This window comes from Homo sapiens, chromosome 22 (assembly GCF_000001405.40).
Source record: "Homo sapiens chromosome 22, GRCh38.p14 Primary Assembly".
Taxonomy (NCBI): Eukaryota; Metazoa; Chordata; class Mammalia; order Primates; family Hominidae; genus Homo; species Homo sapiens.
The window spans coordinates 43539862-43556542 of NC_000022.11; the positions used below are offsets into that span (position 1 = coordinate 43539862).

The window sequence follows — 16681 nt, forward strand, 5'->3', positions numbered from 1 at the left end:
CTCGCTCCCTTTCCCACCTTGCACCCGCTCTTGCCTCCTTTCCATCCCACTCCTCCACCGTTCCTATCCCCACGTCTGCCCCCCTCCCAGGGAATGGATGCTAAGGACCTGCCAGTGGGATCCTTGCATGTGCCCCCACCCCAGACTCACCCGTCTTCTCAGCCACTCAACCCTGGGCCATAGTAGGGCCCCCAAAGTCCCCCCAGTGGGATTTGTGGATGTGGCATGAGGAGGCCTGGGACACCTGGCAGGATGGAGAACTCACACAGGGGTGGCTCTGCGACTTTGACCCTGGTCTCAGCTCCTGAGTGGGCAATGAGAGGGCAGATCTGGTGCCTTCCGAGACGTCAGGGACACTGCTCCCTCTCTGGGCCACGGCCGAGTCACCAGTGGCCATTGGTGTGGCTGCTGTCTCGGAACTGAACCTGCTCAGGAAGTCCGGGTATTTCAGCCTCCCCTTGGCATTGACTGGCATCTCGTTCCAGAGTCTGTCAAACTGGAGAAGGAGCAGAAGTCATTTCCCAGGTGTCAGTGCAAACACAGGCAGCGTCGCACCTGTGCCAGCGAGAAGTGGGACAGGCCGGCCTCGCAGGAGGTGAGCACTCACGTGACTGGTGAAGAAGAAAATTAAAAAAATAAAACGCCCATTTGGCCTTCGCTCGGCGGAGGCCTCAGGAAGACTCTGGAAAAGCAAAGACAAGAGGATTATTCATGGCTTCTGCAGGACATTTTTTAATTGAATTGGGCCCTCAGTGAGCACTTTAAGGCCATTAAATCTTGTGATTAGTCACAGTGCCTGAGCTGCAGTGTATTCGAACATTTGGGAGAAAATGCAAATCAGAGCCCCCACCCACCTTCATCCCAGGGAAGCCCAGTCAGACTCATTTCTCACCCTTCCAGGTACACCTGAGTTCTGCAAACAGCTCACCAGGTGACGCAGCCCTCAGCCCCTGCACTTGCATCCACGATTTATTTCACCCTAAGGGCAAAAAATGTCTTCTCACAAGATGAAAAGGGAGGCATTTGGAAAACCAGGGAGCGGTTTATGGCTTTGTATTTTTGCTGTCTGATGCCACAGACTGTATCAAAACCACACACCATGAAGATAGAAAAAAAAATGAATGACTCAATGCATCCTAAATGAGCCACTTTTGGTAACTGGAGGGCTTTCAGGGAGTGAAGAAGGGCAACTCCTTCCAATTTGATTTTTGCACAGCCCCAAAAACCAGACGGAGCCCCAGCCTCCAACACAGCTGATGGAGAGGCAGCCTCCAGAGAGGCGAGGGGAGGCTCAAACCCTGGTTCCTTCCTTCCCATCCTGCGCTTTCCCCTGGAAGCCTGGGCTCTGCCAGAAACCGAGTTGCTTCTGGGTCTCCACTGGGGTTTTCCAAAGCAAATTAGAGTGACTGTCTTGGGCTTGATTTGAATCCTCAGAAGAAGCAGGGAGAGGTACGGAAGTCGGGGTTGGGGGGTGCAAAGGCAAAAAGGTTTAGTTTGGGACAAGGTTCTCAATTTATCTTTTTACTTTTTATTTAGAAATAACTATAGACTTGCAGGAGGTGACAAGGACAGTACAGTGAGGTCCCTGCACCCTTCCTGCAGTTTCTCCCCAGGCTCTGTCTTAAGTGAAAACACCAAAACCAGGAGGTGGGCATGGGCACAGTGCGGGTGCGGTCTGATGTCATTTTACTACACGTGTAGATTCGTGTTGATTGCATTCTGACCAACGAGGAAAAACTATTTTGTGGAGAAGTGAGGGGACCTTGAGGATGTGACTGCGGTGTCTCAGACCTCACCGGCACCAAGTACAGTAACCTGTCAGACAGGAATCAGCTCCCCCACCTCTGTGTCCTCCAGGACCACTGGCCAAAACCACTGGGCAGATGGCCCCCCTGACACCTTCCCATGTGGTGCCAAAACCACCTCTGCAGCTAATCTCTCCCCCTCCCTCCCCTGGCCTGGAAGCTCCCTGCAGGGTCCTCTGAGAATCAACTTTAAGTGTCAAACATCTGGCAAAGGGGAAGGCACACAGCAGGTGCTCAATACATGTTTGCTCATTGGCTGAAGTTCCTAAGAGACTCACATGGTCAGACTGGTCAGACCCAGGGGAAGGATGCTTCAAGGTGAGGGCAATGGAAGGTGCAGAACGCTGTTCTGACCCCTCCTCCTGAGGCCCTCTCATGGAGCAGGAGAGGACGAGCCCCGTAGGGGAGGACCCGGTAGGCTTGCACCCTCCTGTTTGAGCTGGACTCGGAGCTGAGGAGGCAGAAGATCATGCCGTGAAGGATAAACACTGAGGGAGGTCGGTGTGCATGCTGACAGATGCCGTGAAAATGAAGCTTGGCAGGAGACAATCCCAGGGCTCCCACCTAAGGATCTCCTCTTCTAACAGGGTGGCTGGGGCTGGCCAACTCCCTAATTAAATTCTGTGGTGCAGGCTGGGTGCAGTGGCTCACGCCTGTAATCCTGCCACTTTGGGAGGCCGAGACAGGAGGATCACCTGAGGTCAGGCGTTTGAGACCAGCCTGGCCAACATGGTGAAACCCCATCTCTACTGAAAATACAAAAATTAGCTGGGCGTGGTGGCAGGAGCCTGTAAGTCCAGCTACTCAGGAGGCTGAGACGAGAGAATCGCTTGAACCTGGGAGGTGGATGCTGCAGTGAGCCAATGTCGCACCACTGCACTTCAGCCTGGGCAAAAGAGCAAGACTCCATCTCAAAAACAAAAAATTCTGTGGTGCGGAGGAGGCCATGAGGGACCACAGGATTCCTATTTTCATCCTATTTTAACTGAAGAGCCTCAGAATGGGAGGGTGGAGGAGGCAGCACCGGAGGAAATAGCCCCCAGCCCGCATGTGGCCTCCAGTCTCCATGGAGGCACCTAGAACACCAATGGGCCTAACGGCACCAGGATGGGGGCTGAAGGGCACAACGAGGCTGGACAGACACTAGGGAGACTGGATTCTGAAAAACTGCCAGCCAGTGAGCTTGACATGAAACGTGGGCAAGACGCTGCTGGACTGTGAAAGCGTCAAAAGCAAGTGAGTTTCCACATCAGCGTGGTGAGGTCTGCGCACGCTCAATCATCCCGTCTCCTTGAGCCACCAGCTGAACCCTGAGAAAGACACCACCATGGGTTCCCACTCTGCTTACGATGTAGAAAAGTGGCAACAGAGGGCTACTTGCCATCAACAGGGACAAGCCAGGCAACCTGCAGCCACAGTTCTTCCCCTGAGCCCATGAGCGCGGGGTCACAGGGAGCCAAGGGGAGGGACGGAATTACACAGCCCCAGGCTCCAAGGAGAGCCGGACTTGCCACCAGCTCTCACCCCTGGCAAAGTGTGGGAGGAAGTGGTGGCAGTCACCGAGGAGGGGAGGAAGAAGTCAGTTCATCTTTGAACAAATTCTGAAGGCCACGTGCAGGCTGCCATGTCAGTCTAGGACAGCTGGGGGACCCAGCCACCAGGGCGGCTCCCACCTGCCCCCAGCCCTTCTCCTCGCACCTCTGCTGGTGCTCTAGATCCACCTGCAAGCCCGAGGTGAGAGAGTGTGTGCACGGGGCCACTTCTCCAGACCCCCCGATAGGATGCAGAAGCCTTAAGCTGCTGGGGAAACCCACTCAACTCTCTGCCTCTAGGACAGGGGTAAGAACCCCTCCTTCCTCCACTGGGAACCTCACCCAGGCTCTGGGGGAGGGGAAGGATCGACATCCTTGCAGAATGGGCAGCGACCCCTTGGGCCCAAGGTCTGCTCCTCTACAAAGCAGAGGTCTGAGGGGATGAGCCCAATAGCCGCCAGAGACAGGAGGCAGAGAGGGCTGCCCTGGAGGGGCTGGATGGGGCCGGAGCAGTGAGAAAGCTTCACCCGAGGCCCAGGATGCCTCCACCCCGTCAGGAGCCCAGCACCAGCAAAGGCAGCAAGAGAGGGAAAGGGACCCCTCTCAGGCACTGATGTGAGCCGAGGGTGGCGCAGGAATGCTGAGAAGACCCTCCGGCAGCCCCAGTCCCGCACCAAGTCCACAGGCCTCTCTTCTGGCCTCTCCTAGTTCTAGACATTTCTCTCTCCAACCTTCACCTCTGTGTCTTCACCCCTCCTCCTTGAGACCAGCTCTACGTCCACCCACCACTCTGTTTTACCCTATCCTTCATCCTGCCCAGCCCTCACCTCCCTCCTGAACAAAGCTTGGAACCCACACAACTACTTCTTCACTCCACTCCTCCCTCCCCAGCCTCCCCCTGAGCTTACTGGGGAAGCTCCTGCTGTAACTGCCAGACACGCCCACAACTCTTCCCCAGTAAATGTCCCTTGCTGCTCTCTGTGGCAACCCCTCTGCACCATTTCCTCTTCTTAAATATCCACTATGGTCCCCTCACTCTCAGCTGATAATCTTACCCCATACTTCATAGAGAAAATATACATTATATCAAATTGACTGCACCTATGCTCCCACCCCACAGCTACAGGAGGAAGTCTCGGCTCCTATCCAGGCCACCCCTCCTCGTGTCTCTGGATGTGGTCTGCCTTCTTGAACTACAGAGGCTGGGCAGCTAGAAGGTACTGTGCCCATTTTTCTCTGTAGCAGACACAACAGACACAACTGCCTGCAAGGTGGAAGGAAGGAATTAGCCCAGGTGGTGATCAGCTCTTCTGGTCTGTTTGGTGGCAGAGGGGTTTGGTCCCATCCCCTTAGCACCACAGTGCTGAGCTCTGCTGGGAGGCAGTGGCAGTGGGTTTCTTCTGGAAAAGCCTCCTGGTGGGGTTGGGTTTCTCTTGGCTGCCACGTTCTTGGACGTGGGGACATCCTTTCTGGTTCTCCAGCCCTTCCAGAGCTTCTGTAAGATCCTAATACCCTTCAAAAAAAAAACCTCTTTCTGCTAAAACTTGCCTGTGTGGATCCTGCAATCTGCAACTAAGAACCCTGAACAATACTCAAAGCAACAAAATAGTCTCCAGATAAATCAGATAAAAAAGATATTCAGTGCTGGGTGCAGTGGGTCACACCTGTAATCCCAGCACTTTGGGAGGCCGAGGCAGGCAGATCACGAGGTCAGGAGATCGAGACCATCCTGGTCAACATGGTGAAACCCCGTCTCTACTAAAAATACAGAAAAAATAAAATAAAAAAGAAAAAAAAAATTAGCCGGGCGTGGTGGCGGGCGCCTGTAGTCCCAGATACTCAGGAGGCTGAGGCAGGAGAATGGCGTGAACCCAGGAGGTGGAGCTTGCAGTGAGCCGAGATCGCACCACTGTGCTCTAGCTTGGGCAACAGAGTGAGACTCCATCTCAAAAGAAAAAAAAGCTATTCAGATCATGTCTGAATTCAGACATGAAAACAGACATGATTATGTCTTTTTCAATGGTGTCTTTTTCAGTGGCCAGGTTTCATGCTTTCTGGCCACAATACAATACAAATAGAACCTGATCATAAAAGATCCTATGTCTGGAAAATGAAACTATCACTTCTAAATAGTTTACAGTTTAAAGAGATCCTAGGCATTATGGCAGCCTAGACATTCTAATAAGCCTCCGTTCACAAAACACCCAGTTGATGGATACATATTTTTAAAAACATATATTTAAATTCATTGCAAAGTTCACAAGGAAGTACAGCGAATCATTAAGGGCCAAGGAAAGCTGCTAACCCCAAAGACGGGTGAACAAAAACCTGAAAGCCAGCTTGCAAAAGCTAATCCTGGGAGGCCAAAGTTTTGCGGATTGATGGTGCTCAGGGGTTGGGAGACTGAGGCACAGGCCTGGAGATCCTGGCATAATGAGCCAGGTTACCTGATGGGCTGTATCTTCAGTGCAAGGCTGGGTGAGGAAAACCTGCATGGCTCTGAGCTCCGGGCTGGGCACAGACCTGGAGCTCATGGCCTGGAGTCTGTGAAACCATTTTGGTTTCTCCATCATGGGACCCCAAGGTGGAGGAACCGAAGCAGCGTCGGGCTGGCAGCATCTTTGGCACTTGGAAGAAGCAAACCCTAATCATCTTCGTAGACAATCATACTCAGTCCAGGCCCCTCAGGATTTCCCCCAGATTAAATTCAGCCAAATATAAGCTCTTTCATGAAATAAAAATCACTAAACACATGAAGAGGCAAGTCACCATAAACATGAGTTGGCAAAAACAAGCTAAGACAGATTTAGACTTCAGATATTTGATATTAGCTAGAGAATATAACAAGATTATATGTGAAATAGTTAAAGTAGACATGTGTATTAAAATGAATGAAAGGCAATGTATAAAATAGCTAAAGGAGTAAACACTGGTATTAAAAATCAGCAAGGAGCAAGATAATACCAGAACTGACAAGTCAGACTTTTTTTTCATTTAAACAAACACATACACTTCCTTGAAATTAAAAATATAATCATTGATAAATTTTAAAACATACAATGTATAGATTAAGCAACAGATGAGACACAGTTGAGGAGAGAGATAATGAACCTGAAGATAGAGTACAACAGTCCTTGTCAAACCTAAGCACATCAGAGCCGCCTGGAGTGCTTGCTAACATGTGGTTTCGTGGGTCCTACACACACAGTTTCAGATGCAGTAGACACGTCTGGCAGAACATAAAGGCGCGGCCTTAAAAGCAGTATCAGTGGGAGCCAGAAGATGGTGGAATGATATTTTTAAAAAATTGAGAGGAAATCACTGTCAATTTAAAATTCTCTACCCAGAAAAGTTACCTTGTGAAAATATGGTCAAATAAAGAGATTTTCAGGCCGGGCGTGGTGGCTCACGCCTGTAATCCCAGCACTTTGGGAGGCCAAGATGGGCAGATCACCTGAGGTCAGGAGTTCGAGACCAGCTTGGCCAACATGGTGAAACACCCGTCTCTACTAAAAATACAAAAAATTAGCCAGGTGTGGTGGTGCGCACCTGTAATCCCAGCTATTCGGGAGGCTGAGGCAAGAGAATCACTTGAACCCAGGAGGCGGAGGTTGTGGTGAGACGAGATCATGCCATTGAACTCCAGCCTGGGTGACAGAGTGAGACTCTGTCTCAAAAAAAAAAAAAGGATAATAAATAAAATAAAAGTCTCTACTCAGAAAAGTTACCTTTCAAAAATATGGTCAAAAAAAGATATTTTCAGATAAAAACTGGGCGAACTTAAGATCATAACTAAAGGAAATACTTCACGGAGAAAGAAAATGATCTCAGAAGAAAGGTCTAAGGTGTGAAGAGTAAAGAAGGGGACACCAAATAAATGACCACTGTATAAAACAGTCTAATGATTAATTTGTGGAGAAAAAACAAGATAGATCTAAAACAACAAATAATAATGAAATGAAATCTAGGGAAAATCGGAGTTAGGGCAACTCAATGTCATGTGCCCTGTAGCGCTCATGAGGAAGTAAGGGAAATCAGTAGGGCCGGGAAAGCTGCTAACCCTACAGGCAGGTGAACAAAACCTTAAAAGCCAATTGGCAAAAGAGAACAATGAAAAGACTGATGAACTTTTGACTTTGTTTTGTTACATACGATAAAATTTCAAGGGCAATTATCACCTATTGGTTAAAATAACAGAAATAGATATATAATTTCCAAACCAATAGTGGGGAAAAAAGGAATTTAAAAAATCTCAATCTGGCCAGGTGCAGTGGCTCACGCCTGTAATCCCAGCACTTTGGGAGTCCGAGGCAGGTGAATCACTTGAGCTCAAGAGTTTGAGACCAGCCTGGGCAACATGGCAAAACTCAGTCTCTACAAAAAACCAACCAATCAACCAACCAACAAACCATAAAAATAAGCTGAGGGTGGTAGCATGCATCTGTAGTCCCAGCTACTTGGGAAGCTGAGGTGGGAGGATAGTTTGAGCCAGAGAAGTTGAGGTTGTAGTGAGCCGTGATCATGCCACTGCACTCAAGCCTGGGGAAAAAAAGAAAAAAAAAAAAACATAATCCAAAATAAGATAATAAGAGTTTAAAAAACAATATAAAAGGCTGGGCGTGGTGGCTCACGCCTGTAATCCCAGCACTTTGGGAGGCCGAGGCGGGTAGATCACGAGGTCAGGAGACTGAGACCATCCTGGCTAACATGGTGAAACCCCGTCTCTAGTAAAAATACAAAAAACAAAATTAGCTGGATGTGGTGGCGGGCGCCTATAGTCCCAGCTACTTGGGAGGCTGAGGCAGGAGAATGGCGTGAACCCAGGAGGCGGAACTTTCAGTGAGCCAAGAGGGCGCCACTGCACTCCACCCTGGGTGATAAAGTGAGACTCCGTCTCAAAAATAAATAAATAAATAAAACGATATAAAAGAGATGAGCATTAAATGAAAGCACTTTTGATGACAGAAATAAATTCATACATATCAGTAATGTATGTAAATGGGTCAAACATCCATATAAATAAATGAGATTATTAGACTGTATTTTTAAAAAAATCCAGCTGGGCAAGGTGGCTCATGTCTATAATCCCAGCCCTTTGGGATTAGGCCAAAGCAGGTGGATCACTTGAGGTCAGAAGTTCAAGACCAGCCTGGCCAACATGGTGAAACCCTGCCTCTACTAAAATACAAAAATTAGCTGGGCGTGGTGGCATGTGCCTGTAATCCCAGCTACTTGGGAGGCTGAGGCAGGAGAATTGCTTGAACCCAGGAGGTAGAGGTTGCAGTGAGCCGAGATCAAGCCACTGCACCCCGGTCTGGGTGACAGAGCGAGAATCCATCTCAAAAAAAAAAAAAAAAAAAAAAAAAAAAAAAGGTCAACTCAGTAGGAGGCTATAAGAGCTCTGAATATGCATACGTTTAATTTAAAAAAGAACCAACCTTGAACGCACATACATATATTATAATAAAAATGGACAGAATAATAAGAAATGGATACATCTACTATTACAGTGAGTGATTTCAACATACCTCTTAGTGATGGATGGGCCAAAGAGACAAAAAGGACAACGAGTTTTTGAAGGGCATAAATAACAAGCTTTTACTCAGCATATGTGGAACCCTTCGCTCAGCCACTGGAGGCTATGCATACTATCCATCCACAAATGGAACATTTATTAAAAAAAGACCACACATCAGAACTCAAAGTATTTCTAAGAACTGATGTCATTCAGATTATATTTTCTGATTAAAATGGAGTTAATTGGTAAATTAATAACTTTAAACATCCATGTATTTGGAAACAAAAGAGAGCACTTTTAAATGTTTTATGGATCACAGAAGGAATCAAAATGGAAATAAAAACTATGGAGAACTGAATTATAATTTTAAAACTACATATCAAAACTTGGATGCAGCTAAAGTGGTAATTAGAAGGAAATATATACTTTTAAATGCTCATTAAGAAAAGAAGAACAGCTGAAATCAGAAAGCTTTGTCTAACTTAAACTAAAGCGGAAGGAATAATAAAGATAAGAGCAGAAATTAATAGAAAATTAATATCAACTAAACGAAAAGTTGATAATTTGAAGAGACTAACAAAATAGGCAAATTCTGGCAAGATTAAGCCAGGAGAAAAATAATATTAGAAAGAAAAAATAAGGTATAAGTATAGATTCAGCAGAGATTAAAAAGATAACAGTACACTATTAATAATTTTACGCTAATAAATTTGAAAACTTGGAGAAAAATGGACAGATTCCTGTAGAAAAGATAAGTCACCCAAACTGACAAAATGAAGATAGCCTGAATGGCTTTATAATCCTGAAAGAAAATTAGCAGTTAAAAAAAATCTTCCTATAAAGCAAATGCTGGGCCTTGGTGGCTTTACAAGCATTTCTACTCAATGTTCAATAAATGGACAGCTCCAATCTTACCCAAATTATTCTGGAAAAACAGAAAAAGGGGATTAACTAAAAATGCCATCTCCAAAGCTAGTGTAATATTGATACCAAAGCCAGACAAGACAGGATGAGAAAAGAAAATTCATGAATGCAAATTATACAATAAAAACTTGCTAACTGAATCCTGTACTGCAAAATCACTTTTAATACCTCATGAGCAAGTTTGGCATATACCAGGAATTCAAGTTTAGTTTAACATCAGAAAGTCCGTTAATGTAATCCGCTATATTGAGAAATTGAACCCAAAAAACTACTTGTGTATCTCAATAGATACAGGAAAAGCATTGGATAAAATTCAACATCTATTCATGGTAAACAGCTCTTAGCCAAATAGGAATAAAAGGGAACTTTTATGCTAGATAAAGAATATCTATTGTGGTCAGGAAATGCTTTGCTCTGCATGGAGTCAGGAAGGAGGAGTAGGCATTGAAAGACACGGGCAGGGGCCGGCAGAAGCAGCAGCAAGCTGAGGTGGGGAAGGCTGAAGTTCAGCCTGGGTGGAGCGTAGGGCACCTGGAGGAGCCTGGGGGGTACTGTGCATCCCCACTTCACCGAGGGAGACACAAGCTCAGAGAGGCTGGGCACCTCCTCCAGGGTCACACAGCTGGATGAGAGCAGAAGCACGACTGAAACCTAAGTCCACCTGCCTGAAGGGTTTTGTTTCCTGTGAGCATCATTCTCACTTCCTAGGGGTGTCTGTTTTAGAAATATCATGTCTAAAATGTTCAGAAGGCCGGGCGCGGTGGCTCATGCCTGTCATCCCAACACTTTGGGAGGCCGAGGCGGGTGGATCACCTGAGATCAGGAGTTCAAGACCAGCCTAACCAATATGGTGAAACCCTGTCTCTACTAAAAATACAAACATTAGTTGGGCGTGGTAGCGGGCACCTGTAGTCCCAGTTACTCGAGAGGCTGAGACAGGAGAACTGCTTGAACCCGATAGGCAGAGGTTGCAGTGAGTCGAGTTTGCACCACTGCACTCCGACCTGCATGACACAGTGAGACTCTGTCTCAAAAAAAAAAAAAAAAAAGTTCAGAAACATTTAGCAGTTCCTTTCCCTAATACATCTGCATATTAAAAGTCATCAAGCAATCACTGTGGGCTGATCTAAATGCTTTGCAAAAAGAGGCCCTTGCTGTGGGTCTATTGTCTTAAGCAATACCCAAGCAGACCCAGTTCCGACTGCCTTTTATCACACGCTTTCTGCAGAGCCACAAAGACCCATCCATTTCCAACTCATGCACTCTGCAAGTTGCTCTCCTTTCCCGAAAGGTTAATTGCACCAAAGGGTTTCAAAAGATGTGTCACTTCCCTCACTTACAGAGCTCGATAAGTCAAGAAAGCTGGCCCCTCACGTTCGTGACTGTTGGATTTTTTAAAGTAGGAGATAAGTTTTTATAATGTAGATAAACCAAGTCATGAAATATGGAGTTAAGTGTAATTTAATATGGTTGAACTGTCCTGGCGTCTTCTGCGAGCTCTTTCAAAAAATGGCATGAGGGTCTAGACATGTTAGGAGTACAAATGACCCCCACGTCACACTTTGCCAGGAAACTCGCCTTCGACCAAGAAGGTCCCCAGCAAAGTAACTCATGCAAGGAGGAAATGCATGGAGCTCTGGGCTTTTGCTGTTGATCAGCCCATCCAGGGGCATTTGCCCCAAGTATAGCACAATCTCTGCTAATCATCCCCCAATGTATTACACTGGTGCAAAAGTAATTACGGTCTTTACTTTCAATGGCAAAGACCGCAATTACTTTAGCACGAACCTAATATTCGTGCCAGAGTTTGAGGTTCTTGATGAGGACTGTATTGGAGACAGGTCAGCTTATTTTTGTTTTTTAAATTTTTTTCCTTCAACAACTTTTATTTTAGTTTCAAGGGTACATGTGCAGGTTTGTTCCATAGGTAAATGTGTGGCATGGTGTTTGCTGCACAGATCATCCCATCACTTAGGTATGAAGCCCAGCATCCATTAGCTATTCTTCCTGATGGTCTCCCTCCTCCCCGACCTCAACAGGCCCCAGTGTGTGTTGTTCCCCCATGTGTTCATGTGTTCTCATCATTCAGCTCCCACTTACAAGTGAGAACATGCAGTGTTTGGTTTTCTGTTCCTATGTTAGTTTGCTGAGGATAATGGCTTCTAACTCCATCCATGTCCCTTGTTCCTTTTTTTTTTTTTTTTTGAGACAGAGTCTTGCTCTTTTGCCCAGGCTGGAATGCAGTGGTGTGATCTCGGCTCACTGCAACCTCTGCCTCCTGGGTTTACGTGATTCTCCTGCTTCAGCCTCCTGAGCAGCTGGGACTACAGATGCGTGCCACCGTGCCCAGCTAATTTTTTTGCATTTTTAGTAGTAGAGACGGGGTTTCACCATATTGGCCAGGCTGGTCTTGAAACCCTGACCTCGTGATCTACCCACCTCAGCCTCCCAAAATGCTGGGATTACAGGCGTGAACCGCTGTGCCTGGCCTCTCATTCCTTTTTATGGCTGCATAGTATTCCACGGTGTAGATGTACCACATTTTCTTTAACCAGCCTATCACTGATGGGCATTTAGTTTTTTTCCTTGTCTTTGCTATTGTGAAAAGCGCTGCAATGTACATACGTGTGTGTATCTTTATAATAGAATGATTTATATTCCTTGGGGCATATACCCAGTAATGGGATGGCTTGGTCATATGGTATTACTGCCTCTAGGTCTTTGAGAAATCACCACAGTGTCATCCACAATGGCTAAACTAACTGACACTCCCAACTTCTACCAACAGTGTAGAAGCATTCCTTTTTCTCTGTAACCTCACCAGCATCTGTTGTTTTTTGACTTTTAAATAGTAGCCATTCTGACTGGCGTGAGATGGTATCTCACTGTGGTTTTAATTTGCATTTCTCTAATGCTCAGTGATGTTGAGCTTTTTTTCATATGTTTGTTGGCTGCATGTAAGAGACACGTCAGCTTATTTTTAGAAAGCCGCGTTTAAAAATAAGTGTTTAATTTGGTTGGGGAAGGGGCTTGATGTGCTGAGGATGGTGAAGTTTTCTTAGTGGACAATTAAAATTGAATTCTCTGTGATGAATGCCAGATATGTCAGCATGTCATTAATTTCTATCTATAATTAGAGTAAAATTTTACTCATTTAGGTGAAATTAAAAAAATCTTTATTAGTAAAACCTTGATTACTTGGCCCCATAGAATAATAAATGCAACTGTATTAATTTCAAAGGCTTATTTTCATTTATGCTAAGAGGAGTATTTGCAAATACAGAGTTTGCTCGGCTTTGACGTGCAATGGGGCAGGATCATTTGGAAACAGCATTTAATTTTGCTTAGCAAAAATGATCACACCAAAATGCTTGAGAAAGGTGATATTTTAGGAATGTTAAACCTGATAGTCACATTCTTAATGTCTTTACGGCATGCATTCTTGGGGCAGTGAGTTCAGAGCTGTGAGTAGAGCCAGGGGTGACTGCGATGATCACGCTTCCCTATGAATACTTCCAAGGCCTTACCCTGCAACTCTGACAAAATGAGACAAGAGGTTGTAATGGCCCAGTTTTGGAGGCGAAAGAGTGACATTTCCACGCAGTGTCTGCAGGGAACTCCCTGGGCTGAGACTGAGCAGAACCAGGAGGAAGGAGGGAGGCAGAGTTGCTTTGTTAAGTATTTGGGGATTTTATGTTTTAGTCTGAATTATTCTCTGGGAATGGGACATTGATGCATTTGAGAACTAGAGAGGGCTTGTAGCTGTGCATTTTCTGAGTGAAGGGAAATCTACTTCTGTAACTGGATCAGTGGTGCTCTGTGTTACTTGGCTGATCAGCCACGGGGCTGCCGAGGACGGTGAAGGGCTGGGGAGTATGGACGCTGTCCATTCAGCAGCATGTACTGAGCACCCACTCAGCGCCCTGCACTGCTTTGGCATTTAGGGCACAGCGAGGAACAAAGCAACCTGGGGCACTGCTCCCCTGGTGCTGGTGTTCAGTGTGACTATGGATGGGAGGCAGGCTGGGCAGGTGCTCTCTTCCCTCCCACAGCTGCCATGGCAAGGCAGACTCTGAGGACGCCACCCCACTGGGAGGTGCTCTTGGCCTTGGAAGGCCATGAAGGGCCATAGCGGCCCAGGGGAGCAGGTTGTCGGAGCCTTTGAGCCACAGAAGAGCTCAGTCCAGTCCTTAGGGGAGGAGGCTGGGAAGAACCTCCTTCTGGGGATTCTGTGATAGGGAGGAGGATCTTAGAGAGGCAGGGCCTGTGTCCAGCCTGTGCACAGTGGAGAGGCCCACCAGGGGTGGCATGTACCCAGCATGCTTAGAGCAGCAGCCCGGAGCATCCCACACTGCCAGCAGCAGCACCAGGTAGTAGCAAGGAGAAGGCAGGTTGGGGTGGCGGGAGGAGCGCCAGCCTCCTGCCAGGGTCTGTGACCCTCCAGGCGTGGGGACCGACTGCCCACCTTCTTTGGACCATGTGGAGTCCTAATTAGGGGAAAGGAATCAGGCTGGTGGGAACAGAGGAAAGCAAAATGAAAAAGCAGGTAAGCCGCTAAGTCTGCCTTTGTTCATGGTCCAGAACACGTAGTCCTCCTGCACAAATAACAACCTTCCTGCGCCCAGCTATCACCAGACCCCCGGCTCATAGAAAAATGCAAGGTAGCTCACTGCAACCTTGGTGTTTCCAGTACTGCACAAAGCCTTCTTCAGCACCCAGCACAAGCACCATCCTATAAAATCTCCAGCAAACCTTTGTCTCTTTGCAGTCAGCTTTTCTCTTGCTGACTTGCCCCTTGCACTCTTGCAACATATTTTCATACTTTTTCTAATACATCTGCCTTTTTTACCTACAACTGTCTTGGTACATTCTTTTTACTGCCTGCGCAACACTGGCCCCAGATAGTTGCTGCCCATGACAGACCCAGACCACATTACCTCCGGGATGCTCCAGGGAAGGGAGAAGGAGTGTGGGAGCCGAAGCGGAGTTGAATTTGATTTTAAAGGCAACAGTGACAGTATTTGTACCCTGATGAAAATGGTGTAATTTATAGTTGTTACATAAACAGAAGATTCCTGTGAATCTTCAGGAAGATTGAAAAACAAAATAACAAAACTGCAAGCATTTTAAAAATAGAGAACAGTCTTAAACTCTGTACATTCTGGCCAGGGACCAGGCTGACGCTCAGCCAACGGTGTGCAGGGTGAGGACTGACTGGCGTTTCTTACCTGTTCGTCCGTCAGGATTTGGACGCGGCGATTACAAATGGCCCTAAACTCCTCTCTGGAGATGGTGTTCGTTTTCATGGTGTCAAAATTCTCAAACTCCTGGGTGATGGCATGGTAATGGGAAGTCACTGCTTTGTGGAGGCGAGCCAGGATGTCTCTGTCGGCTGTGGCCTTGGGAGAGGTAGGCGGCGGGCCTTTGGGCATTTTCTCAGCCCACTCATCAGCTGTCTGGACAAAATAGAATGGAAATTGATCCATGTGAGAAATAATCGACCACCTCTTGCTCTGGGCTCCTCACCCAGGGCAAGTTGCAGGGAGACCCAGCGTGGTGGGGAGGAGAGGCCAGAAGACAGCTACAGCCTGGAGGTGGGTTCAGGCAGCCTCCAGCCCCAGGTCAGGCCCTGCTGAGCAGAAGCCTGGGTTTCCTGCCATGAAGGATCCAGCGAGTTCCCCATGGGGCAGAGCAGTGGCCCTGGAAGGCTGGGCGGCCAGCACAGAGCCCAGCCCTGGGGAGGGCACACCGTTTACTCTCATCTATTCATGCCTTCAGGCTGTCTTTGGGATCGATTAACAAACACAGTGCGAGCCTTCCCTGAGAGGCCAGGGAATGAACAGGGATTGGCACCCACATGCTTTCATTTCAGGATGCCAGTTTAGTTGATTACTCACAGTGGTCAACATTTGAAAGGGGGGTTTTGATGACTGCTGTGCCATTAGACTACAGCTAAATGTTCCTTGAAGCCTGAAACTTTGTGAGACCCACAGGGACTTAACTCTGGGGAATTAAGTGCAGTGGCATCTGCTAAGGGTGACCTCCCCACAGTGGGCACGGGTCCCAGGCCTGGGTTAGTGCTCTGCCCCACTCCTTGGGCACTGGAAGTCAGGGGGTTGGAGTGTGGTTCAGGTCCTCATGACACTGTCCTTGGTGCTAAGGACTCTGGAGGAGGGATGTGCACCTAGCCAGGGCTCAGAGATTTCCTGGGAGGAGGAGGAATTGGCTGTGGAGAAAGAGAGACAGCAGAAGGATTCTTTTACTGATGTGCTGGCAAGAGGGCTTGTGGCCAGGTGAGCTAGGAGGGGCCCGCAGAGGGCGGCATCCCACCTTCAGCATCTGCGGATGCTCACTGTGGCAGACACATATGACAGAGGGAAGAGCCAGCAAGGGAAGTTACTCAGTGAGCAGCAGCAGATGATGACAATTGCAAGGGGCCTTATCCTGGGGCCTGTCAGGAGGAGGCACTGGGGAGACTGGGCTCCACGTTGAAGTCAGGCTTGGGAAACTGGGGCCCAGGGGATGAAGCGAATGGGGCAGCAGAGTCTTGAGCCTCCTGCAAAGAGGCAGGGGTCAGGGGTGGGGGGAAATGGGCAGGGCCTGGGAAGCAGCTCTGACATGCATCTACTTGCTGAAATCAGAGGAAGGCTCCCAAAGCCAGGCCTGTGGCTGCTGCATCAACAGGGCAGCCCGTGGAGTATGCTGACCTGGAAGGGGTGGGGCTAGAAGACACGCGTGGGAGTCGGGAACAAGTGAGATTCCCAAGGTGACCACACAAGAAAGCTGTTCCTGTACGTGGGTATATTCTGAGATATACTGGGTTTCCCCACATCAAAGCCCACCATGGCTGTGAGCTTTGATACCAGCTCCTACCATGCCCCTCAGTGCCATGCAAAGGGTTT

General features: G+C 47.8%; 1 protein-coding gene across 19 annotated transcripts in view, besides 2 other annotated features; it reads right to left on the reverse strand.

Moving 5' to 3' along the window:
* The window catches only part of EFCAB6 (EF-hand calcium binding domain 6), a 283528-nt gene that overhangs the window by 11084 nt on the left and 255763 nt on the right, over positions 1 to 16681 (reverse strand). For 18 of the 19 annotated variants that reach the window (XR_007067980.1, XM_047441462.1, XM_011530319.4 and 15 more), the window contains 2 exons: positions 15008 to 15235; positions 266 to 496 (listed from right to left, as the gene is read on the reverse strand). Coding sequence is in view for 18 of the 19 variants with exons in the window: in XM_047441462.1 (XP_047297418.1) it covers positions 266 to 496; positions 15008 to 15235 (459 nt within the window). In the remaining variant the exon portion in view is untranslated. The other variant, XM_011530326.4, reaches the window with a different exon arrangement.
* Positions 2800 to 3579: an enhancer, noted in NCBI's record as "H3K4me1 hESC enhancer chr22:43938541-43939320 (GRCh37/hg19 assembly coordinates)". NCBI's record gives its function as "activates a minimal SCP1, AML or CMV promoter by ChIP-STARR-seq in naive H9 embryonic stem cells {active_cell/tissue: H9 hESC(naive)}" and the evidence as "EXISTENCE:reporter gene assay evidence [ECO:0000049][PMID:30033119]".
* Positions 3580 to 4357: an enhancer, noted in NCBI's record as "H3K4me1 hESC enhancer chr22:43939321-43940098 (GRCh37/hg19 assembly coordinates)". NCBI's record gives its function as "activates a minimal SCP1, AML or CMV promoter by ChIP-STARR-seq in primed H9 embryonic stem cells {active_cell/tissue: H9 hESC(primed)}" and the evidence as "EXISTENCE:reporter gene assay evidence [ECO:0000049][PMID:30033119]".